The 25586-nt window shown below is 34.4% G+C and overlaps 1 long non-coding RNA gene across 1 annotated transcript in view, besides 1 other annotated feature; it reads right to left on the bottom strand.

The window, feature by feature from the left end:
- Window positions 1–25586, bottom strand: part of LOC100505498 (uncharacterized) — a 257710-nt gene that overhangs the window by 124112 nt on the left and 108012 nt on the right. The gene's annotated exons all lie outside the window — the stretch shown is intronic.
- Window positions 20552–20621: an enhancer, noted in NCBI's record as "active region_16606". NCBI's record gives its function as "activates an Ori minimal core promoter by ATAC-STARR-seq in GM12878 lymphoblastoid cells {active_cell/tissue: GM12878}" and the evidence as "EXISTENCE:reporter gene assay evidence [ECO:0000049][PMID:35858748]".

Below are 25586 nucleotides of genomic sequence, written 5' to 3'. Positions count from 1 at the left end.
ACAGGATGGCTGAGCTGGGAACACCTTTTTTGTTGGTTGTCCTGTTTTTTTCCAGGTCTGCTAAGCCCCTAAGGAGAGTTCTTAAAGTTAGGTAAGAAACATTTGTAAATTTAAAGTTTTATAAGGAGGAAAGAGATAATTTATTTTGTCTGTTTAAAAGTGCAAATCCCAGTATTTTGGGCATCAAGGGTGCAAAAAGCAAATGTAATTGTTTTGTGAATTTGGCCCTTGGGTTTGTCATTCAAACCTATGCATCGCAACTAGATCAGAAATTTCAACAATGTGACATCTCTATGACTTTCTCTGTGAAATCTAATGCTCTATCTCCTAGACATAATATAAAACACTGTAGGCCTGCATTATGTAACCTCCAACCATATAATTCTATACTTGGCTCAAAATCTGAAATTTTCCCTGGAAAAAATGTATAAAGAAATAATAATAGTATTAAATTGAAGTCACTCATATTTAAATACATCAGAGTTTCACTTTAAAAGTTGAATACTTTTGACTATCTGCTTTAAATAATAACTAATCTAGAGCAGCTTAACATAGGTTTTGATAATATTTCACTTCATATTCAATTTTGAAAGTCTCTGGTTTTGCATATTCTTTGAATTTTGTTCTTTTGATGCTATGAGAAATAAATTTACCCAGCATAGCAAAACAAATATTGATTTTGTCATAAAGTCAATGCCATTTGTCAGGCTTCCTCACATTAAATATGTTAAGAGTACACATGATTTTATTAACCCACTACTAAAATCATACTTTATATAATCAATTTTTTTCTGACTTTCGAATTCTCTCAAGGATTCAGAAAAACGTTTATTATATAGAATTAATAAAAACAACTATAATTTTCCAATTTTACTTCCCTTTGGAATAGAATACTGGTTGTGCTGAATATATGTATACTATAACTTATTAGCTCTGTAAAGACAAGGATTTCTTAGGAAGCACACAATGACTGCTATTCCCATTTCAACGGGAAAGAAAAGATCTCTTTTTGAAAGTTCATGAACTCTAAAGCCTTGGCTACATTTTGATCCTAAAACGAAAGAAATTTAAGTATGTTATGATATAAATGAAAATTATTTTAGTAAAACTAGTTGGCTCTTAAGAGTTATAGGCTCAGTCAGATATTATCATTAGAGACAATTAAATTGTTTCCTATGAGTCAGTAATGTTACTCTCAGATTAGCAGAAATAACACATTAGATCAGAAGTCTAAACAGATCTCCAGAAATCTCAGCTAGCCCACTCTATCTTCTCTAGCAGGAGGAATACCCTACATAAAGGGATGAAAACCTAAGGTCTTATATTAAGCAAGAACAACATCAATAAAGTCTACTCTTCTCTCTCTAGAAACTTTTCATTAAGACCCTACAAAGTTTCTCAGTGTTCCAACCCCAGGCTTTCTCCTTTGTTCTCAATTCACTTTTATAATTCCTATACAGTTTTACATTGTGACTTTAATATACATAACATTTACATATTGAAGTTAACAGATATTTTGCAAAGAGAAAAATGTAATTCCATATTCTTTTTAAAACTATATTTTTGGTAGTGAATATTTTGATCAGAGAGGTTTTTTTTTTAACATTTTCAAATGTACATAAAATGTGTTAATTTATTCATACCCCAAAGGTAAATATAATAATTCAAATAGTTGAATAATTGAGCCTACTAGCCATTCTAGAATTATTTGAGATCAAGAGCATTATGTAGACAATATTGTATTGCGGGCATGTTAATTCACTGTTTCAAGTACATAGACTTTGGGGTTAGATGGACTTGGGTTAGAATGCCAGCCTTATCATTTATGGTCTCTGAGACATGAACATGAGTCATTAATCTAAAAAGACAGTCAAGAAATAATGCCAAGCAGATAAAGACCTGAGAGACTTGATAGGAGAGAAAGTTTGGCAAGGATGGTAATAGGTGCTGTTGTGAGAAATTGATTAGAGGAAAGTTACTGTATTACTTACAAGATGTGGGTACTTTGGCAAGTTACTTATTCTTTCTGAGTCTTATTGACTTTACTATAAAACAGAAGTGGTGATAGCAACCTTGGAGAGAGTATATAAAGCTCTATGTGCAGTGGTTAGAACAGAAGTCCCCATGAAGAAGCTATCATTATCATCAGCATCTTCGTGGGGTTTTCTGTGTGTGTGTTTGTGTGTGTGTTTATGTATAAAATATTTTTTCTTTAAAGTTGGGGTTTTACTTTTAGATAATTAACCTATCACCTCAAACCTAATAGTTATTCCCAATTTTGTATATTTTTATATTAGGCATTATTCCCATATTGCAAATTATCATTATAGTATTTTGTAACGATTTGCAACATTCTTAAATATGACTACCATGTCCTAAATCAAACATTTCTCTGGAGTCTTCAGCCTGTCTCATAAAAACACCTCACAAATATAGCCTATGTCTACAGCGAGGATCAAGTTTGTTAGGCCTAATTTTTAGGACCCAGTACCAATGCGTTCAAGGTCACAGGTTTTCCCATTGCACTTCATGTAGGCAACAACTGTCTTTGCAATGAACACCTAGTCATCAGGTGGACACCATGCATGATTCATCACAGTGACTAAGCAAGAAAGCAGATATAATTTGAATATAATCATCACCATCTCCGACATAGCAATTCCAAGGAGTTATCCTATTAGGAATGAATAGAAGTATCCTCATAAGCCTGAACATATACCTTCGGGCCAAATACTATTTTCTCCATTTATCTTCTGTTTATTCTTTTAATTTAAATAAACTTTTGGGAGAATGGTTTTAGATTTACAGAAAAGTTACAAAGATTTTACAGAGAGTTCCAGTGTACATTGTATCAGTTTCCCCTATTGTTAACAACTTACATTACTGTGGTGTATTTGTCAGAATTGAGTCAACACTGGTATATAACTATTAATTAAACTAAACTACATGCTTTATTTGAATGTCACCAGTTTTTTCACATCCTTTTCCTGTTTCAAGATCTCATCCAGAATACTACATTACATGTAGTTATCACATCTTCTTAGTGTCTTCTGATGTATGAGTGTTCAAGACATTCTTTGCTTTTGATGACCTTGACAATTTTGAGGTGTACTGATCATACATTTTGTAGGATATCCTTTAATTTAGGCTTGTCTAATGTTTTTTTCATAGTTACATTAAGGTTATTATTTTTGAGGAGGTCTCCTGTTTACATGAGTGTTCTTATTGTATTTTGTCTAGCTGAGAGTTCAAAGAAGCCTTTCTGTGTGAGGCGATATATGGGATCATCCTGATTTATTTAGCTCTCCTTGTTCAATTTTACTTAGTGATTAAGATGAAAGCTATCCAGATAACTACCACAGTGGGTAAGATAACGCAAGCAAATAACCATGCAAAACAGAAGACAATATTTTTAGCTTATTTTTCTGAATATGTAAAAATCCCTCCCCAGGTATATTTTCCTGAATCCTCTTGCACGCCAAAGACAACCGCTCACCACATATTATTCTTCAGTATGTTTCTTTTATTTTGTATGCATAAAGGTCAACCTGAAATATACATCAAACCTGAATGAAACATCCTCTTTCCTTATGTAACATACCAGTGCTTGAAGTTTGCTCTTCCAGCATTATTTGTTTAATAGAAATATTTTCCATACCACCTGGTTCTGGCAGAAAGTCAAAATTTGCATTTATATGAGGTAGTTTATCAAATATAACATACAGAAGTCTGTTAAGTACACATTGCATTTTGTTTGTGAGAAAATCTGTTTGTATTTAATGTAGTTTTTAAATTAACCTTAATGAAAGCTTCTGAAAATTGTTGTTCTAAGCATTTGAAATATGCAACAAGAACTGGTGGAAGGCATAAACATGTTTTCCATTATATGTTATCTGATAGCCCAAAATTACTACAAAGAAGAATGTGGGACTATGTTAAATTAGAAAGATAAGCAAGCATTTAGTTAAAAGCAAAGGTCTTTAGAAGAGGAAAGCATCTAACACAGTTAACCCTGAGCATCTTATAACCATCTTCAGTCGGAGGTATTTTAGCATTTTTAAGTTAGAATATTACTTACTGTACATGGAAACTAAGGTAATTTCCACCAAATTCTAACATTTTACTTCTCAATCTTAGACTTGCCAAATACTCAATGATTCACCTAAGGCTCCCTAAAGTGCTGAGAATGGTAGTTTGGAGCATGAACCCATCTGTCTTGTGTCTCTTAAGATAACAGTTCATCCTGCTCTCGTGTTTTCACTTTTCATTCCTTATAATGTTTTCCTTAGTATTATTGTTTTGAATTTCAACGTATCCCAGTGATTTTCACATAGATGGCTCCGCAATCATGGATATAGGGTTGACATTCATTTCTAGTAGACCACGATGTTTTCATCAACTGGGGCAAACCCAAGTGTCTTTTGGGTTTGGACAAGTTATTTACATAAGTGAAGGCAGCTAGCTAAGTGCTGAGGTGAACACAGTGCTCAACTGTAAAAAAGGAAATTTCTGCTTGCCTTGATCTCATCTTTGCTATGTAGATCAAAATGCCCGATATTTTCAGAGAGTGAATGTTTTTTAAATTTAAGCTAGAAATCCAGATACTTGTATTTTAGGTGTTAAAAACTAACTTTGAAATGTATAAAATATTGTGCAGGCCACAAATTAGGGCTAGAGTGCCATTATGCAGCCTGTGCATAAAGTACAATAAATAAAAAATATTAATAATTGGCTAATTCAAGTACAATCAGGGAAAATAACTATTCCTTGAATAAATATTATATTTCTTTGAATGGAAAGTTATGCCTCTTTTAAAATAAATCAGATGTTATTAAAAGTTATTGCTCTTCAATGCTTATAGCATTTGACAAAGTCTGGGCTATGGTTCCTAAAGAAAGGATTTGCTACACCTTTGATTGTAAACTTATTTGAAGCCATTGCAGTGTTGTTCTAATAGTTTAATAAAAAGTCTTAAAACAAAGTTTTATATTCAATAAATTCCACCTTTGATTAAACTATCTAACAATTTTAGCTTCGTAAACCTCTTATCTCCTAACCTTAAAGTTGTTTATTCATAATTTTCATCATATGTCAGCTGGTCTAAAACTTTAAATTGATTAAAGCTATACATAGAGGGTCTGAGCCTCCATAGGATTTGCCACTTGTACATGGCACATGTTGCTCTAAACAGTCATATCTAGCAGTGACCTCTTAGCTTAGTGACCAGAGGGCTTTGCTTGGGACAAAAGGAGGTATGTGAATCTATGAATTTCTGTGTTAAGATCTGTCAAGGAAAGCAGTCCACACTTCATTCTTTCCTTACAATCACAAAAGTGGAAAAACAAAAGGCTGTTGTTCATCCACTTTCTACAAGTTTTTCTTCTCCCTCCTACCTACAGCAGGGCCCTCTGACAGCTTAGGAAGAAACTGGTAGAGCTGGATGTGAATGGTATTCCTCTTCCCTCCTCAACCCAAGTCTAACACAATCCTCTCAAGAGTAAACTTTGAGTTCTTTGTCACTTTTATCATGTCCCCAGATTTTTCATTGTAGCCTAAAGTGAACATTTTCAATAAGAGAATAATTTCACAAATTTATTACTATTATCTCTATAATACATTTGAAGTATGATTTAATATGTTTGAGGGAGATGTTATGGATAAGAGTTGCTTAGGATTTGGGAGTTATATATTTTTTAATGTAAATAATTTCCTTTTATGAGTCTTTTCACCCTAAGTTATATTTCCCATTATATTTTGAGATTGTTCCCATTCTATTTTGAGATTAAAACAGTATTGAAACAATCTCAAAATACAAAACAAAATACAATTGAAACAATCTCAAAATATAATGGGAAATATAATTTAGGTGAATATAATTGAATTACATTCAATCTCAAAATATAATGTAGACAGCCTCCAGCCCCCCACTGCCACCAGGCAGTTCTGAGAGAAATTACACATTCATACACATGAAAATGTGTGATTTTGTCTATGAAAATTTGTAAGATGGCACATACAATAAATGTTCATATGCTATTACAGAACTTAGTTTTAAAAGAAAAAAACTCATGTAAATATCTTCAGAAACCCCAGTACAGCTTTTCAAATAATCTCAATGGCAGAAAATGCTTATCTTGTGTCTATGGTTATGATTAAAAAAAAATACCCACACCTGGTGAACAAAACAGATAACCTTAAATTGGGCCATACACTGAGTTACAAAATAAAAGACTAAAATCTAGTATTTTCATGTAACAGACATGCATTAAGTGCCTATCTAATGCAAAGGAAACAATCCAAAATGACAACCAAACCATAGAAGGTATATAGGTTCACAGTGTTGAAAAGAACACTATTAATTTGAAAATGTATTATGTTTCATCATACCTTAATTAATGAAATTAGTTCATTTGATTGCTTTTAGTCATTCTAATATAACACGAACAATGCTAATACTAAAATTATTAATCCAATATATTCATTTCTATGGCTATTTTCTTGATACATCAGTGGATTTTACTATTAGCTTGTTTGGCTGGTAAAGAATTATAAGAAGTGAAATGCATAAAGTTGAAGGACAGACAAAATTTGAGTTTGTTACTGATGTTATCAACGTTTAAGTCCTGTAGTCCATTAATCATCTGCATTAAAAGCAACTGGCAATATTTGTTAAAAACATAAACCCTTGGGCACCATGCTAAAATTCATTTTTATTATCACCAGGTTATTTTCTTATAGACAAAGAATTGAGAACTAACAGTTTACATATAAAGAAATCATTATAATGAGTTCAACACTTCTCCAGTGGGTCTTAGAAATTCTTCACAGTAAAGTGGAATTTCACTATTAGGTTGTTTGCTGTATGAAGATGTTCTTATTTGCTAACAATTATATTACAGCCACCAGATTTTCTCTAAAAATCTATTTGATACATCTCTATTTCCTGTGAAGCATTTATTTACCACAGTTAGTGATTTCCTGTTTTTAATGTATGTTTAACTGTAATATCTCTTTCATATGCCATATCGTTCCAAAAAAATCGTTCAGAAAGCTTAATACAGTATAAATAATTACAAAATTATAATTTTGGCTGTTAATCCCTTGTCTCTGAATGTTTAAGAAAAAATATACCATATGATGCTTCTGCTTTTCTCATTTATGATCTCGTGTTTGATCTACTTTGATGGGCGGTTTAAAGAATGCCTTTAACCTGCATGTCACTCTGGTTATAACGAATATACAACCAATAATTATCCACTTCAGGTATGTCCTTAAAGTATATTTTATCTTCACACAAAAAAAATTTCATAAAATATTAACTTCATAAAATAGAGTTAATATTTTTATACTTAACCTTGTCTGTTTTACAATGAGACATGCAAATAGTTTAATAACATTATTTGCTTATACTTGTTAAGGTTCAAACAACCAGTTGTTATATAGGAACAAATAAGTCTTATCCGTTTCAGAAGACACTACTCTGTTAGCGTACAATAGCTAATATCAAACCACTAATAGATTTAACCTTGTAAGTTCATAGATATTTAAAAGAGTTATGGTTTGAAGGTCAACTTGTCTGTCTTACTGTAAAAGAAAGGCAAAGAAATGAAGAAAAATTAGAAAGAATTAATTCTTCAAAAAGTTTTCACAAATCAAAACCCTGCAGTTTCACACTGAGAACAAAAGAAGCATATTAAACACCAAAGTTTATCAAGACAAATTAGGTCCCAGTTTCAAATTTTCTTTAATCTTTTGCATCTGAACAGTTTTTTTTGCTTCATGCTGTTTTCCCTAGTTAAATGTTAAAATGAATTCTAGCCAATACCATTGACTTCCTCCCTTAAAAATATTGAGACACATAATAAAAAATTAATTACTTCCCCTAATTTCCGTATGATTCTTTAAAAAGATGTAAAATTCATTTAAAGTAAGTGGTGACTTTGTCTTTGAAGATCACGACAATTAACATGGATCAAAGCTTAGGTTCTGTAACGATGATAGCTTATTAGCATAATGAAATTAACTTAGAGACAAGAATCTTTAATAGGTACAACAAAAATGCTTTAATAATACTTGAAGAAAATTATGTATTTGCTAGAAGTACAACAGTTTCAGATTTTCTATCCAATTAATAAGTTGTTAATTAACTCCTTTTCCAAACAATGCACACTTTAAGCTAACATCTGCCCATTGGAATATTCTATTTATAGTGCTTCATTTTTTGTGAGGGTATAGTGGTTTTGCCAATGATACTTTGTATTTTTTTTACTATTATGAAAATTCAAGTTTACCCTTCTATACTATAAATCCAATATTTCATCATCAAAATAGAAAAAGGCTTAAAGTCCTATCTTGGGAAGGAAATTAAGATTTCAAAATACGATTGCAATTTGACTGGTAGTTCACACTGAAGGTCTTCAGCATTTCAAGGGCAGATTTTTTTTGGATAGCTTTGGGGTGCCTATAAAATTTGACTCATTGTTTAAACTCAAGAAGAAAAAAGAATCTATTAAAAATAATACTCATAATTTTGATTTGGGTGTACATGTTGGAAACTACTTGGATTTGAAGATAAATAAAAGAATGATTTATTTTTTTCCAGCAGCAAGTCTTAATAATCATGTTTTCATCCAAAGGCTGTAAAAAAAGTACTTTGTCATTTTTATAACCATTCATTCATTAATCTATTGTTTATTGAACACTAATATTCATTGCAAGTGCCAGGAACTAAGAGTCTCCAAGTTTTAAAAAGAAGGAGGGTTGTGTTGTTCCAGGTGCTGTTTTCATTGTTGCTGGTGTTATTGTTTCAGTCAAATAGTTGATTTTCTTTTTGCCCAGGTAGCCGAAATGGGTACTCTGTCCAGGTCCTTTACCTCTGTTATATCTGATTGTTATAGTATTTTTCTGACACTCATAATTGAGCATAATCCAAAATCAAAAACAAAACAGAACAAAAAGCAATTACATAGATACTTAACAGAAGACTAATTTTTTAAAAATATTATAATTTGACAAGGAATTATTGCACATGCCTTCCTCAGTTCCATCTCCTAAAAGCTCTTTCTCTTCCCCGTCTATATGGGGTCTGCGGTTTTCTAATTCATATATGTTGGCAATATGCTGTCTAAGTGCTTTGTTTTCTGGATCTAGAAATTAATAAGTAGCCCCTAATCCCAAAGATATTATGCTGCCCTCAATCCACATAAATATCAAGTCCCCTGGCTGCCTCTCTTGTCACCTGATACCTGCATGCCTTTGTCCAAACAGCTACACTATAAGCTCCTTTTCTATCAGATAAGGGCCCAAACCAGAAGCACAAAAATTGGTGCCATAGTAGACATACAGAGGGAAATACCAGGAGACTAGCAATCTCAAGATAGTCAGTGATTTGATGAGTACATAACTCAGAGGTGCTTTCTGGTGTAGCCCTCAAAATAGACTAGATTATGATTTTAGAGAATTCCAACCAAGCAGTGTATAAAACCCATGTCTTTTTTTTCTGACTAGCTGGTAGCTCTATCTCCCTACCTGAGCTCTAAGAACATTTTGTACTTTTATTTGAAAATTTACCAAATTCTATCCTGTCAGTATGGCTATTTTTGAAGATTTCTTATCCACTACTTAACTATTATTGGAACCCTACTTTAAAAAAAAAAAAAAAAAGAAGAAGCATGTTGGCTTTAAACTATGGTAAAATTAAATCTAGGGCATTTGGAGAAATACCCTAGCTTCTCCCCTTTTCCTGTCCTCCAATCTCCCACCAATAACTCCATTGGCCAAACCTTGATGGAAGCCCTGTGGACACAGGGACTTGGGAAATGTAGTTTGCAGAGATTGGCCACTTTAACTATAAGGCAGAGCAGAAGAAAGGCACAAAATGGATATGAGAAGGACTGGCACAATTTGGCTAAAAAGTTAACTTTTTGTTAGCCACAGGTATTGAACACAAAAGAATATTACTGAAATAACATCTTCACTGATTTCCTTACCATCTGTTTGGCACTTTAAGGCCCACTCACCATTCTGCATGATACCAGGGATATCGTTCTGAAATGCAGATCTGATCATGCCATCTTTCCCATTGTAACATCCTTCAATTCATTCTCATTCTTTATATTGTGCAGTTGAACCTTGAACAATGCAGTGGTTAGGGACACCAAACAGCCCAAAATCTATGTATAACTTTGGACTCCCCCAAAACTTAGCCACTGATAGCCTATAGTTGACCAGAAGCCTTACTGATAACATAAACGGTTAACACATATTTTTAGGTTATATGTATTATATACTATATTCTTACAACAATGTAAACTAGAGAAAAGAAAATGTTAGTAAGAAAATATTTTTACTCTTCATTAAGTGGAAGTGGATCATAAAGGTCTTCATCCCCGTCATCTTCACGTTGAGCAGGCTGAGGAGGAGGAGGCAGAGGAAGGGTTGGTCTTGCTGTCTCAGAGGTGGCAGAGGTGGAGGAGGTTGGAGGGGAAGCAGGAGAGGCAGGCACACTTGGAGTAACTTTTATTGAAAAAATATGCATATAAGTAAACCCAGGCAGTTCAAGCCCATGTTGTTCAAGGGTGGATTGTAAATCTTGAGTTCATCACAGAAGAAGTCTCTAGCACCTCCCTCTGGTGTCAAGATATACCCTCTGCTCCACCATCAGTTAACCACCTGTAGCTTTAGATTGCTTCAAACTATTGTAGACCACTGTGTCTCACATGGGCCTCTTTGCTTGAAATGCCAGAAACCTCCCCTTGCTCACCCTATTACAGCCACCACCAGGCATGGTGGCTCACATCTGTAATCCCAGCACTTTGGGAGGCCAATGTGGGTGGATTGCTTGAGCTCAGGAGTTCAAGACCAGCCTGGGCAACATGCCAAAACCCCATCTTTCCCCAAAATGCAAAAATTAGCCAGGTGTGGTGGTGTGTGCCTGTAGTCTCAGCTACTGGAGAGGCCAAGGTGAAAGGATCGCTTAAAACCATGAGCAGAGGTTACAGTGAGCCAACAACACACACGCACACACAACTTAACCTTTATGCCCCTAATATGACTGAAGGGTCTTTTTGTGTGCCACTTTGAACTCTGGATATACCTCCATCAACACATTTTACTGTAATCATTGTGTTTATATTTGACATTGAGTATCCTGTGCAGGATGTTAAAGTACATGAAACTTCAGGACTGTACCTCCTAATTGTGAAACATGAATGCCCATCACATAGGAGGGGAGCAATAAAAGATTACTGAATTAGTAAACAAGTGAACGAGTGATCTCTTAAGCATATTTGATGACAACCTATTCACTTTATAAGTCCCACTGCTATGAAGAAAACCGAACAAAATTGAAACAAAAGTTAATTTCATTATTAATATAAAAGGAAATTGTTCCTTAAAGGTGTTTCTAAGCAGTAATTAAAATATCTTACAATGATCTCCTCTAAATAAAAGTAGACTTAGCCCATGTCTTGTTTCACTGAGCATTCTCTTTTAATGTAATCTTTCCTTTCTTTATGTGAGCTTTGCCACTCTCTGCTTTGTAAGGTTGTGCACAGCTGTGTCCTGAATTTGAATTTCCCTTGATGACTTTGTTCTTTTTAATGTTGTTGTTTTTGTTTGTTTTCAGAACAATTTATGCTTCACACTTAATTTGCATGTTTTTTTCCAACTTCATGAGTTTGAACAAGAATACTTTTCTGTTCTCATATGACAGCTCAGCAGGATAATGTACTGTACTTAAAAGAAATTGTTTTGTTTTTCTCAAGTGTAAAAGGTATTTTTCGTGAGTAACCACCGTCTTCCAAAAGTACATCATACAACTAATAGCAAGGGAATCCCTAAGAAAAAGGTAAAAATAAAAGAGGAATGAATAAATACAGAAATAAAGAAAAGATAATGAATGAATGAATGAATGAATGAGAAAAACGAGGCGGGGGGCAGGAAGGAGAAAGCCAAAGCAAAGAATGTTTCTCCTCCCTTGCATTTACTTATCATGTTTTGACCATAAGGACCTTTGTAGCAATACCTTAAACTGTGTTACCCCTAAACCAAACCCCCCCCAAAAAAAAAAAAACCACACACACACAAAACTAAAAACTAAACTTAAGGCAGGATCTTGCACAGGGTAGGTATGCATTAGAGTGCTCAAGGGCTGCTACAGTGAGAAATCTAAAAGTATGTTAAAATCTTGGCCACTGAATGAGTAATGCCATTATAAAAGACTATTAGAACACATAGAGGGGCATTCAATTCCAGTTATTGATACAATCTGATTTAGAGTCTGAATAATATAATGATCCAAGAATACATTGCTTGAGGTCTTTCAAAATACTATATGAAAAGCTGACAATCATCTGTGAAATCTCTACTTGATTTCGCTTAGCAAAAATTGTTTATTTTAGTGAAAATTTTTCAAACAAATGCTAAAGTAAATAGGGTGATATACTAATTTATATATAGCCATTGTCCAAATTTAACAATTCCCAAATATGAGTCAATATTATTCCATAAATCTCTATTCTCTGACTTTGGTCATCAATAATTTTATTTAGCTGGAGTGTTTTAAAGCAAATTCCAGACATCATATCATTTTACCCATAAGTGATTCAATATGTATTTCTAAAAAGTAAGGGCCATTTTAAGCATAACCACAATGTCATCAAACATCTAAATCATTAAGCAAATACTTAACATCATCATTGTCCAGCCCACACTTAAATTTCCGCTAACTTTTTCTTAGATGGTGTGCTCAAATCAGAATACAAACAAAATCCACACTTTGATTTGATTTATACATTTCTTAAATTTTATTTAACCTTTAACAATTGACCCTTTTTTGTTGAATGAGTTAGGTCCTTTTTCAAGTTGAATTTCACTTATTCTTCACTATATTGTCATTGACCTGTCTCCATCCTCTAGGTTTCTTGTAAACTAGTAGACAGAGTTAGAGTTTTGAGTTCATTCAGAGTAGTATATTTGGGAGGTGTTTGTGGAGGAAAGACACTTCATGGCTGCTGCTATGTGTTCCTTGTTGTATTACATCAGGATCTACGTAATATCTGATTATCCATTTGAACTGGCTTTTTGAAATTGATGTTTACTGAAATTATCAATGGACCCAGGTGTTGTCAGCCTGACACAACCATTACAAAATTCCTTATCAATATATTCATGTAAGTTTTGATGTAGATATTACATAGGTAATTATCTTATTGAAGGTTGCAAAAAAGTGACTTTAAATATTCTATTTTTTTCGTACGGAATGTTTCCCTCTTATGATGACAAGGTGAATTACTTTGAAACATACAATGGGATAAACGGAAACAGACCTGGAGGGAATCTATATTGGTGAAAATATTGAATCATTTTTCTTTGTTATTTGCCTGTGATAAGAGCAAATCAAAAATATTAGGAGATTTAGTAAATAATAGTCATTTTAAACTTTTAAATAAAATCTTATACAAGATTTATAAAGAAGTTGAGTTTGCTTCTATAACTTTTAAAAATAAAAGTTTTTTGATTTTAAGAAAATTGTAGATAATATGAAATTATAAGAAAAATACATAATGACACCATGTTCCCTTTGCCCAGTTATCTTTTATAGTATCACTTTGCAAAACCATACCATGTGATACCATGTGATCATGTGATACCATGATCATGACAAGAATATTGACATTGATATAGCCAAGGTGACATTTCCATCACTGTAAGAATCACACGTTTCCTTTCATAGGCTCCCCACCCATTCTTAAACTATGGCAATCACTAATCTGTTCTCCATTTGTATAATTTTGTCATTTTGCCAATGATATATAAATAAAATCATACAGCGTGTAACTTTTGGAGATTGCCTTTTCTTTTCACTCAGTGTAATTCCCTGGAAATTCATCCAGTGGTCATGTGTATCGATAGTTCAGTTCTTTTTATTGCTGAATAGTATTCCATGTACTACAGGTTTTTTAGCCATTCATACACCAAAGGACACCTAGATTAGTCCCAGTATCTGGTTATTGTGAATAAAGATTCTATAAACACTTACATACAGGTTTTTGTGTGGGTGTAAGTTTTTTATTTCTCTGATATAAATGTCCAGAAGTGCAATTACTGGGTTATATGATGTCTGCATATTTCATTTCTTTAAAAAACTGCCCAACTATTTTCCAAAGTGCCTATACTATTTTAAATTTTCACCAGCAATGTAGAAGGGATCCACTTTCTACTAATTGTTGCAAGCATTTGGTATTAGCACTATTTTTTTTATTTTAGCCATTCTGATAGGTATGTAGTTATATTTCCTCATTTTAGTTTATGTTTTTCTAATGGATAATTAGGTTGAATATCACTGAAGTTGTGTGGTTGCCAATATATCCCTTCAGTAAAATGTCTGTTCAGTAAAATTGCATTGCTTTGCTTTTTATTGTTGAATTCTGAGAGTTCTTTATATGTTCTAAATACTACTCTCTTGGAAGATATATGGTTTGCAAATATTTTCTCCAAGTCTGTAGCTCCTCTTTTCATATTTTTAATAGCATCTTTTACAAAGCAAAAGTTTTTAATTGTGATGAAGTCCAATTAATCTATTTTTTCTTCTATGAATTATGCTTTCAGATCTCAAAGATTTTCTACTATTATTTTTTCTAAATGTTTCATAATTCTGTGTTTTACATTTAAGTCCATGATGCATTTTTTTTTAATTTAAGATGTGAGACTTAGGTCAAGTTTTATTTATTTATTTATTTTTTGCCTATGGATATCCAATTGTTACACCATCTTTTGGGGAAAAAGGCTATCTTTATTGAATTGCTTTTGCATCTTTGTCAAAAATTAGTTGAGTATATTTGTGTTCATCTAATAATGGGCTCTCCATCGTGTTCTATTGATCTATGTACCTGTCTCACCACCGTCACACAATCTTGAATACAGTAGTTATAATAATAAGTTTTAAAATTAGGTATACCTATTTCTCCTCTTCCATTTCTCTTTCTCAAAATTGTGCTAGCTATTTTAGTTTCTCTGCTGTTCCATATAAATTTTACAATAATGTTCTCTATATCTACCAAAGAATTTTGTTGGCATTTTAGTAGGAATTGCATTAAACTTGTGTATCAATCTGGTGAAAATAGATATCTTTACTATGTTGAGTCTTCCAACATATGAACACAGTATGTCTGTTTATTTAGATCTTCTTTGATTTTTTCAGCAACATGTTTTCAGCATATAAGTCCTGTATACATTGTTTGATGTTTGTGCTTAAGTATATATCTTTTTTGAGAAATTTTAAATGATATTGTATTGATTTTAAATTTTGCTGACCATGTATTCATTGTTAGCCTGTAGAAATACAATTTATTTTGGGCATTCATTTTTGTATCCTAAAAGCTTGTTAAATTCACTTAGTTATAGTAGCTTTTGGTTGAATCCTTAGGATTTTCTATGTATACAATCATGTCATCTTCAAATAGGGACAGTTTTACTTCTTCCTTTCTAATCTGTTTGGTGTTTATTTCTCCTTTTCTTATTACACAGGATAGGAATTCTAGCACCATATTGAATAAGAGTGGTGAGGGCAGATAGCCTTTGCCTTGTTTTCAATATCAGGGAAAGGCATTCAATTGTTCCCCAAGTATAAAATTATCTTTAGGCTTCTTGTATATGCTATTTATCAAGCTGTGTTGGTAGCTGATTAAACAGTGTCCAACCAGATTGAGGGTGGGCCTGCCTCTCCCAATCCACTGACTCAAACGTTAATCTCCTTTGGCAACACACTCGCAGACACACCCAGGAACAATACTTTGCATCCTTCAATCCAATCAAGTTGACACTCAGTATTAACCACCACAGTCTACATAAGATAGTTGATCTTGGTATACGTAAAGTAATGATGTAGGTCCACCTGCACGGCTCTGTCTACTTAGGATGTCCACCTTGTTGCCACTCAACCCACCCAATTCCCACCCCAGGCAAAATCACAATTTAGACTACACAGCCTTCTCTCTGATACCCTGAAAAAGGACTCCTCCTCCAGAAGCTCTAAAAGATCTTTGTTCAAAATGAACACAATGAATTCTGCACCTGGCCACTAAAGCAGTTGTCCACCCGCTTCATGGCAGAGCCTGGAGCATCATTAGTAAAGCAGCAAATACTAGGCATTACTCATCCAGCAGGCCATCTGCAAGGCGTCACTGTCAGACCCAGCTTGACACAGCAGCTTAAGGTCTATGATGTTGGCTTGGGGGCAACTGTCCAGGAAGTCCAGCTACTCTGAGCCTGCCCAGACTGAGGCTAACCAGCAGTTTATGTTGCACTGTCCATTTAGACTTTGACCAGATTATGTAAATTTTTATGCCAAAATCTATACACAATAAGAAACATGCCATCTTCTCTTCTGATACATCTTGCATGACAGAACACTAGTAAACATGTGCAGCAAAGTAAATTTCTTTAAAACGAGTCTTGTTTTCCTACTGATGTTATGATAATAAAACGGGCAGGAAGTCCTCAAAATATTCATGTTAATGAAATACTTACAACCCTTTCAAGTATTGATGAGGAAAGGATAGAGCTATTAGCCAGACCTACACACACTAGTTAGCTAGGGTCAAGAGTAGCACTGAGATTTCTAGTAGCCTTAGTCCCTGTGCGTATTACTTTTTCCCATGTTCTCTAAAGGACTGTGTGCTTAGTCAGAAAATCACTCCTTCAGTATGCCCATCATGTACCCCTCTCCTCAACTGAGCAGATAATTAACTCTCTCTCTTTCCCACAGTGGTTCTTAGTATTTCTAGGCTGTCAATAACATTTTCAGGGGTGCATCTTGAAAAAAAAAAAAACAGGCAAGATATTGTATTGTATTTTTAAGCTAATTTTTAAAAATTGACATTATTATTTGTCTATTTTCTTACTTTTCAAAAACCTAAACTATTGATAAATGAGGAAAGTATAATAGGAGGTATTATATTTTCAATGCTCTTTTTATTAAATAGAAAATTGTTAACTCTATGTCAGTCTCCATTGTTTTGTGTGATTTTGCTGGTCCATAAAATATAAGTCGGGGAACTACTTTGCAAAATATGCATTGCCATTTATTTGGCCTTGTATAATGTTTAGAGACATATTTCAAAATTCATTTGCCAAATTCAAAATGAAAGACAATCAACTAAAAGATACAGCTGAGAAAATACAAGTCAAGTAATATCATTTGTGAGTTGTTTTCACAATTAAGAGAAGCAAAACTACTATGTGAAAGTATATAACTACTATGTGAAAGTATATAAAAATATATCTGAAACAAAAAATAAAACAAAGTAATCATGAGACCCAACCTGTTGGATGGCCTGAAATCCCATTATATGTCAAATGTCTGGTATTTATTGAAAGTGAGTGACTGAATACAATCCTTCTAAGCATACTACAGCAACTGGAGTTACACACCGGCATTCCCTCAGAGCCCCCATTGACAGCTATAGAAACAAACTAATTCTCACTTTGTTTTTAATTTTAGTTGTCACTAACAATGCCTCCACCTTCTGGCTTAGCATCTCAATATTAACTTACAAGCATGAAACAAGAACTTAATCAGGGAATGTTTGGGGATTTACTTTTCAGCAGCTGAAATACTGAAGGTGAGGTATGAGCAAACATTTGGTGGTGTGGGACAGTAATTAGGTTCAGATAGAAGGTACAGAACTGCAGTGTTAACTAAATCTGTTCGTAACTAGTGTCTCATCTCAATTAGTGGGAAAAAGATTACACTGCAAGAGTGTATAAAGGTTGAGGCTTCTTGCATAAGAGTCCAGACTGTTACAAGTCCAGAGTCTTGTTAGCACTCTTGATACCTTCAAAAATGAAATGTGACTTGTTCCAGAAAACACTATTTTTTAAATTTTTTCTTTGTTTTTTAAATTATTACTGGCCTGTGCTACAAAACCAGGTTCAAGACACATGTGTGACCTAGGGAAGACAGAATCTCTTTCCTAAATACCATAAATCTTTACAGGCTATATGGAGGCTATTGTTCACTTATTAAAAAACTGTGAAGGATAAACAAAAGAAAATTGGACTCTGAAGTAGAGAGAGAAGATTCGTCTTAACACTCTCTTGTTATCCAGGTGAATAATTTTAGACTCACAGATATCTGCTGCTTCTATTCCCACACCTGGACTATGGTGCCAATATACATTCCACATTTTCCACAATGTGTTTGTGAGTCTGTTACTCTTTCATTAATATTTTAAAGTATGGAATTTTTAAACAAATACCTTTTCATTTGGTGGTAAAAATTTTTGTCATGCTTTCCTTTTTAGGTTTATAATTGATGGGCCTAATTGGATAGCTACATTATAAACAGAATAATTAAGGTCTAAACTACTGATTTTTCAAAGATCATCATTGCATCAGCCTCACTTAGAATGCAAATGCATGAGCCTCACCCTGGACCTGCAGAATCAGAATCTCTGCTGGTAGGGTCCACCTAGGAATCTGCATTTTAAAGAAGCTCTACCCATGATTCCAACACTCACTCAAGTCTAAGAATCCTTGGTCTAGGCTGCCTATTGTCAGAGAATAGTGTATAGCGGCAGAGCAGGGACTAAATCCATGGCCTGTGAATTCTAAATTAGACTTCCTCAAACTACATAAATGTAAGCAATTCTACTATTGAAACCACAATTTGAATTTTATTTTGGCTCTTTGGTTTTGTAAAATATTGTTGGAGAATGGGTGAAATACCCTGGGTAAGACCACAAGGGAAAGATTTCTGCTTGTTTATTTATAGCTTTCATGTACATAATCTGTATAATTCCTGAAATAAAAGAAACACCTTTATATTCTTGCAGTCATAACCCTCAATTATTAACTTCTCGGCTTAGTGCATTCTTATACAAAGTTAGAGGTCCTACTAGCTGAGTTTGTATTTGACAGAAGATTACATAAGGCAAGAAGAGACTCATGTTCAAAGCTTTTGGGAACAAGAATCTAAACCATTGAATTATATGGGGTAGCTATCCTTAAAGGAATAAAAAAAAAACATAAATGATATAATCCCATATGAACAAACCTATGCTTATCTCAGAAAGCAGGCTAGAATAACTAAAATGATGTTCTCTCCTTTTTTTATTCAAAGGCATCTAAATGGAATTGAGTAAATGAAAAAAAAAAAAGTAACAGCTCTTTTCCCTTTGGAGCCATTTGCTGGTTAAATTTGCTTGTAGAAGTGACCATGCTTCAGAATGATTAGCTTTGGTGAAGGTTATAAGCTACAGGTAAGCTCAGGACATCGCTGCCTTCTGCTGGAACAGTAGTCAGATGAGACTAGAGGAGCTGCGACACTGGGCCAGTCACCTCAGCTTGCCAGAAATTTGTTCTTTAAGCTCCAGGATACAGAATATGTACTACTTTTATATATATATACATATATATATATAAAATATATATACATATATTATTTATATATATTTATATTTATACATATATATGTATATATACACATATATATGATAAGATATATATATCTTATCATCTAAAAAATTAAAAAGCACTGCAATTGGTGGGAAGGAAGTACTGGTCTCCTTTTTTTTCTAAAAGTAGGAGTTCCTAAGCTTAATTTTTTTCAACAATTAAAATAAGAGATTAAAAAAATTCCTATCTTAAGATGCCGGCATCCTATTCAACTTTTCCTACTTCTCCTAAGTTTATTAACATGCTATCTTCTGTCATTGCAAGGCATAATCTATCATAAACAAAATTGAAAAACAATTGCTTAAGGATTCATTATGTACTAAACATTGCTTCTCATCAAATTGTATTACATTTATTTGCAAATAAAAACAATGTGTGCCAGGAACCTGACTAAAGTATTTTAAGGAAACATTTAAAATTACAAATACAATTTCACAATAGAAATAAAATAATTGTATGAAAACTACATCATTCTAAGCATTTATAAATTTATTCCCTCTCTAGAGCATTCAAATGAAACACAAAGACAATACATAACTCAATAAATAACAATATACAACACAATACAAGAATAAAGGAATTAAGAAGGGTAGAACCCAGTACGACAATAACAGGCGAGCATTTAAATCAATTTAGTTGTCATTTTTTTCCCATTGCACCAAATTATACCTGTGTATTTGGGCATGTAAAAATTATGGTGGTCTGAAGTCTAGAATGCCTGAAATAAGATGGGATGGGTTTGAAAAGGCTATGAGGAAATGAAATTATTTAGCAGAGGTTGAGAGAAAATAAAATTAAGATTCAATCAATGATATGAATAGAGAATGTGGTTAAGGTCAATGGTGTGTAGTACTCAGCGCTAGCTTCTAAAAAGTCATGGGGCAGTCACATTTTCCATTGCCTTTCTCCTGGCTCTTGGGAACTGCTGACTGTCCAGGAACTTCACACCATGGTTCTCACTTGACATCCATATATTAATCAGAACATTTTGGTTGCATGTGACAGAAAATCAACTCAAACAGACATAATGAAACAATGATTGAGGTGAGGGAGGCTCAAAGAGTGAAAAGTTTAGGTTAGTTTTATGTATGACTGGTTGCAAGCACACATAAATTCATACTCCTTTTTACTCGGCACCCTTTCTCAGTTCTGCTTTATTCTGGGTTAACTTTATTTCACATAGGCTCTTCTTCTATGATGACAAGATGACCTCCAAAAGCTCTAGGCTTTTGTTGAGACCACTCAACAACACTAGCATGGAGACTCCTTCTCACTGGGTTTCTTTGGCTCCAACTGGCTGATTGTGGGTCACACACTTATTGTTTAACCAATCACTGTGGCCATGGGATGTAATGTTTTTTTTTTTTTTAGCAGATGCAAGTCACAATATTTTCCTTAGAACTAACTGGGTGATGTGAACCTCAACTAAATGAGTTATGAGTAGGGAAGAATTGGTTTTCCTAGGAAAATTAGAGTGACTTCAGCCAAAAAAAAAAAAAAAAAAGAGAGAGAGAGAATGAATGCTAGATTAAAATGAGTGTCTAGTGAAGCCTACAGTTTTGAGCAGTGACTCACAGTCCAGACCCTTTCTTACCTCCTACTCCCTAACACAAGAGTCTTATATTTTGTTCTTCACGACGCTCCTAAAGGAATAAACTTCCTCAAGTACGCACTGTACCTGTCATTGCTTCACTATCATAGCCTGGGAAATTCTGGAATTATGGCAAGGAGTCCCTGGGTCTTATTCACTGCAATTTCATCTCAAAAGTTTCCAGTCATAGTGTTTGTTATTACTGTTATTACTGTTGGGTATAATTTGGCTGTGTCCCCACCCAAATCTCATCTTGAATTGTAGTTCCCATAATCCCCATGTGTCATGGGAGGGACCGAGTGGGAGGTAATTTAATAATGGTGGTGGTTACCCTCATGCTGTTCTCATGATTATGAGGGAGTTCTCATGAGATCTGATGGTTTTATAAGGGGCATTTCCCTCCTTTGCTTGGCACTTCTCCTTGCTGCCACCATGTAAAGAAGCACGTGTGTGCTTTCCATTCCGCCATGGTTGCAAGTTTCCTGAGGCCTCCCCAGCCATGCTGATCTGTGAGTCAATTAAACCTCTTTTCTTTATAAATTACCCAGTCTTGGGTATCTTTTTATTAGCAGTGTGAGAATGGACTAATACAGTAAATGTAGCTAAGATTTTCTTTCTTATTTTTAGCTGGTATCTGATTTGCCCTTCTATAGTTTACCCATTGGTTCTAATTCATCCGATGAAGCCATCCAAATCTGTCTATTATGTGTTCTACACACATCTTCACATTTTTAAAGCAAGTTTATTCAACTACTGTGAATATGTCATGGCTTCCAGAAATGTGATGCCCAATGATTTATTTATGCTCATTTTTTTCCTCCCTCTGTTATGCTATTCTTTATACCTGAACTCTATTTTGGTTGAACCTTAGATGGCAAGATTTTTCATTGTTGTTTTTAATTTGCTTACCTGTTCATTTTGTTTACACAGTCTCAGGAAGTCAAGGAAGTAAGAGTTCAACCAATATTAAGTAAAGAATTGTTATCTCTTTATATGATCACTTATCATCTATTGGCTTCATATTTGAGAGCAATAAAATATACCAGTTTCAGCTATGAAACAAAAATATTCGCAAATTCTGCATTCATATATGCTTTTCTTTCTTCTTTCATTTATCAGGTTGTTTTACTCCAAAACAAACAAACAGGCAATTTGATTCTAACAGAGAATGCATACTTTATAATCTCGTAGTCTACAAAAATTTTATTTATTGCTGCAAATGGTTGGGTTCCTGCTTGTATGCCATGGGAACTGAATTTTTGCCCTAATGTTTTGGCACATCTTCAGTATACTTACCACTGTAGGAGTGGTGTGTATCCACAATTATGTTATTTGAAAAGAATCTTTGTACTGGAAAATCCCATTGAGATGTAGCATTGCATTTCCAAGGGTGCCTTGGGACAAGAAAGAATGGGGCAGCGATATACAACCATTTGGTTACATCATTCATACCAGAGAAATTGTCATCCTACTGCTGACGGGGAACACTTGCATTTCTCTATTATCAAAGATTTTGCAGAACTGCTCACCCCCCTCTATTCATTTCATTCCAGCTGTTCTAACACAAGGAATCAAGCAGATTGTTTCATTTTTTTGAGCATACATTAAAAAAGACAAGGCCATCATTTGGGGGGCTTTTGAAGGGTTTTTTGCTCAGTTTGGACTGTGTGTGGAGCAAGCTCACTGCCTTATAACAAAAGCATAAAACTCCGTGGTGACAGGCAAGTCAAAGGCTAAAGAACTTGTTAAAAGGAAGAACTCCTAAATGTTAAGCATTTAGGAATAACAAGAGAAATGAGAAAAAAAGCAGGGAAAAGGTAAACGAGAACATCAGAAGGAATGTGCACTGGCCCAGCACTGTGTGCTTTTATAATCCTTTGGGAAAATGCACTCATAAGGCTCAGTGGCTCCTTCTGGAATTTCCCCTACATCAGAGAACCAAAAGATTGTTCTTGTTTGAGCTCGTGCTTTGTGCCTTCCAAGTATGCATAGATTTGGAGGGGTTTTTTTTTTTTTGGTACTAAAATATTAAAATTGTTTTAGAATGTATCAGATACATATCAAATGTCTGATATGTATCAAATGTCTGATACAATCTTGTCATGTTATCTTGAGACATAAGCCTTACCCTCTCCTTGAGAATCTTCCATTTCTTCGTATGGTATTCTTGCCTCATTATACTTTCTGTACACACCACAGATATCCAAATATTCTCTTTCCTTTTCACTTTCTGTACATATTTTCCTATTATTCTTGAATGTCAAATACAAGAATACATACTACTGGCCGGGCACAGTGGCTCACGCCTGTAATCCCAGCACTTTGGGAGGCTGAGGCAGGTGGGTCACGAGGTCAAGGAATCGAGACCATCCTGGCCAACATAGTGAAACCCCATCTCTACTAAAAATACAAAAATTCGCTGTGCATGGTGGTGCACACCTGTAGTCCCATCTCCTCAGGAGGCTGAGACAGGAGAATCGCTTGAACCCGGGAGGCAGAGGTTGCAGTAAGCAGACATCGCACCATTGGACTCCAGCCTGGGGACAAGAGCGAGACTCCAACTTAAAAAAAAAAAAAAAGAGAGAATACATACTACCACTGCTTTTCCCCATACCAATGTGAGACATTGCAAATTAATCATGGAAATCTTAAGGTATATGAATCATTTTTAATATGTGTTCCAGGAAGTCATCATCATGAGAGCAGAGTTGAAAAGTAAGATGAAATAAATTTTCACATCCTGGCTCAGGAATGTGAAAACTTAGGAATTGGGAGGGCTCCCAAAATACTTATTTGATCATGAATTTGGGGAAGAATATATATATATCTATGTTTGGTCCAATAGTAATGGTAAAATTGATTCTCAGTTCCAAATAATTGTAGAAGGCAACATTTTATCTTCCATTAGGCTTAGCTTTTAGTCACCAGATACACAGAGATTTAGTATTTGAGAATTCCCACTGATTTTTTAAAGTCATTTTCAGACAAATTTTTAAAATGCACTATATTCATTTGTAAACTATAGAATAGAATATAATCATTGCATTTGCCCTTTCTTCTCCAAACTCTCATTCCAGCCTCACTGCCTGCACTAGTGTTAACTGGAGAGTTTGGTTTCATCTTTCTGAGAGGTAAGACATTTTTAAAAGCTGTTACTTCTATCTAGAAAGTACTCTTTTGGGTGGCTTGTCTATTGACTCACACCTTGTTTCACTCTTCCCTCCCATAATCCTAGTGGGATTTGAGGTCTTCTTCCTTCTAATTTAACACAGTCACTAGGAATCCCAGGGGCCCACATATGGGCCAGCTTTCTTTACCATTAACGGGCTACATTGCACATTGGTTTCCCTATGAAATCACTAATAAGGGTATATTTATCTAGTGTATTCTCTCTTCCACATATACTCCTTGAAATCATGCAATGGAGATAGGTAGTTAAATTCAAGGACTTAGTGATCCTGATCTTGGCCACAGACTCACAATCAATATGACAATGTCAAATTAAGGTGAGTCTGTGCAAGGTATGTGTGGGAGAGCATGGGTTGAAGAATTTTAATGTCTTGATCCTGGCCATAAACGAAGATATATAACAGGTAGTTAATTGAAGCAATTTATTATTTGAAGAGATCACTCCAGTCTGAAAACAAATACCTAGGAAAGGCTCTTAATTTGCTAACTTGTGTTTCATGATTTTAAATACAGTATTGTTGAGCTATACGCTCTCCCTGGTAGCTCAGGTTCCCAGCCTAAAGAAACTAAGAGGTCAGTCTAGGGTTCCTGGCTCTTTTTATCTAGATCAAAATAAGTTAACATTTTTCCCATTGTTTTCTCTCCAACAAAACCACCTCCTCAATGTTTCTGACCTATGCTAAACACACACACACACACACACACACACACACACACGAAAACATCATTTAACAGAAACAAAACTTAATCCAAAAGCCTGGCCTGCCCAACTTCTTTTCAAATTATTATGAGTCATTTCTCCCTCCAATTTCTGGCATCTTCTGAATTCGTGCTCATTGAATTGCTGTTTAAAGCTATATCTTTAAACCTGCCTTGGGCTCTTCAAACTCTTTTCCCTTTAGCCTTCCACCTGCCCAAAGCACCCACAAACACATTGCTAATTTTGTGTTTTGTTTAATTAGAGAACTGTGGGTTTATGAGTCATGGGAAAAGGAGATTGTGTGCAGCCAAATTAAGTTTAAATTACTCTTTGGATATTCCTCTCCTTGTAAGCTGTGGTGACCACTCTACCACTCAGAGAAGCTTTGCTGGGTTCTGAAGGAACCTAATGAGAAAGTGTTAGAGTCAACTTTGTGGGAGAGGAGAAGAATGGGTCTTGTGCTTATTAGTTGATGGAGGATCCAGCAGATTAAAATACACATTCACCATCAAAAACCGCTGTCTTTACTTGTCTATCTGAGTCAATGATGCTTGAGGATATAAAACCCAGATCTATCTTTCCTCTCTCACTGCAACTCAAATGCCTTTACACCTTAGTCTCAACTAATGATTTTCAAAGTGGGTGAGC

Source organism: Homo sapiens, chromosome 2 (assembly GCF_000001405.40).
Source record: "Homo sapiens chromosome 2, GRCh38.p14 Primary Assembly".
Lineage (NCBI taxonomy): Eukaryota > Metazoa > Chordata > Mammalia > Primates > Hominidae > Homo > Homo sapiens.
This window is presented reverse-complemented; position numbering and strand designations above follow the sequence as displayed.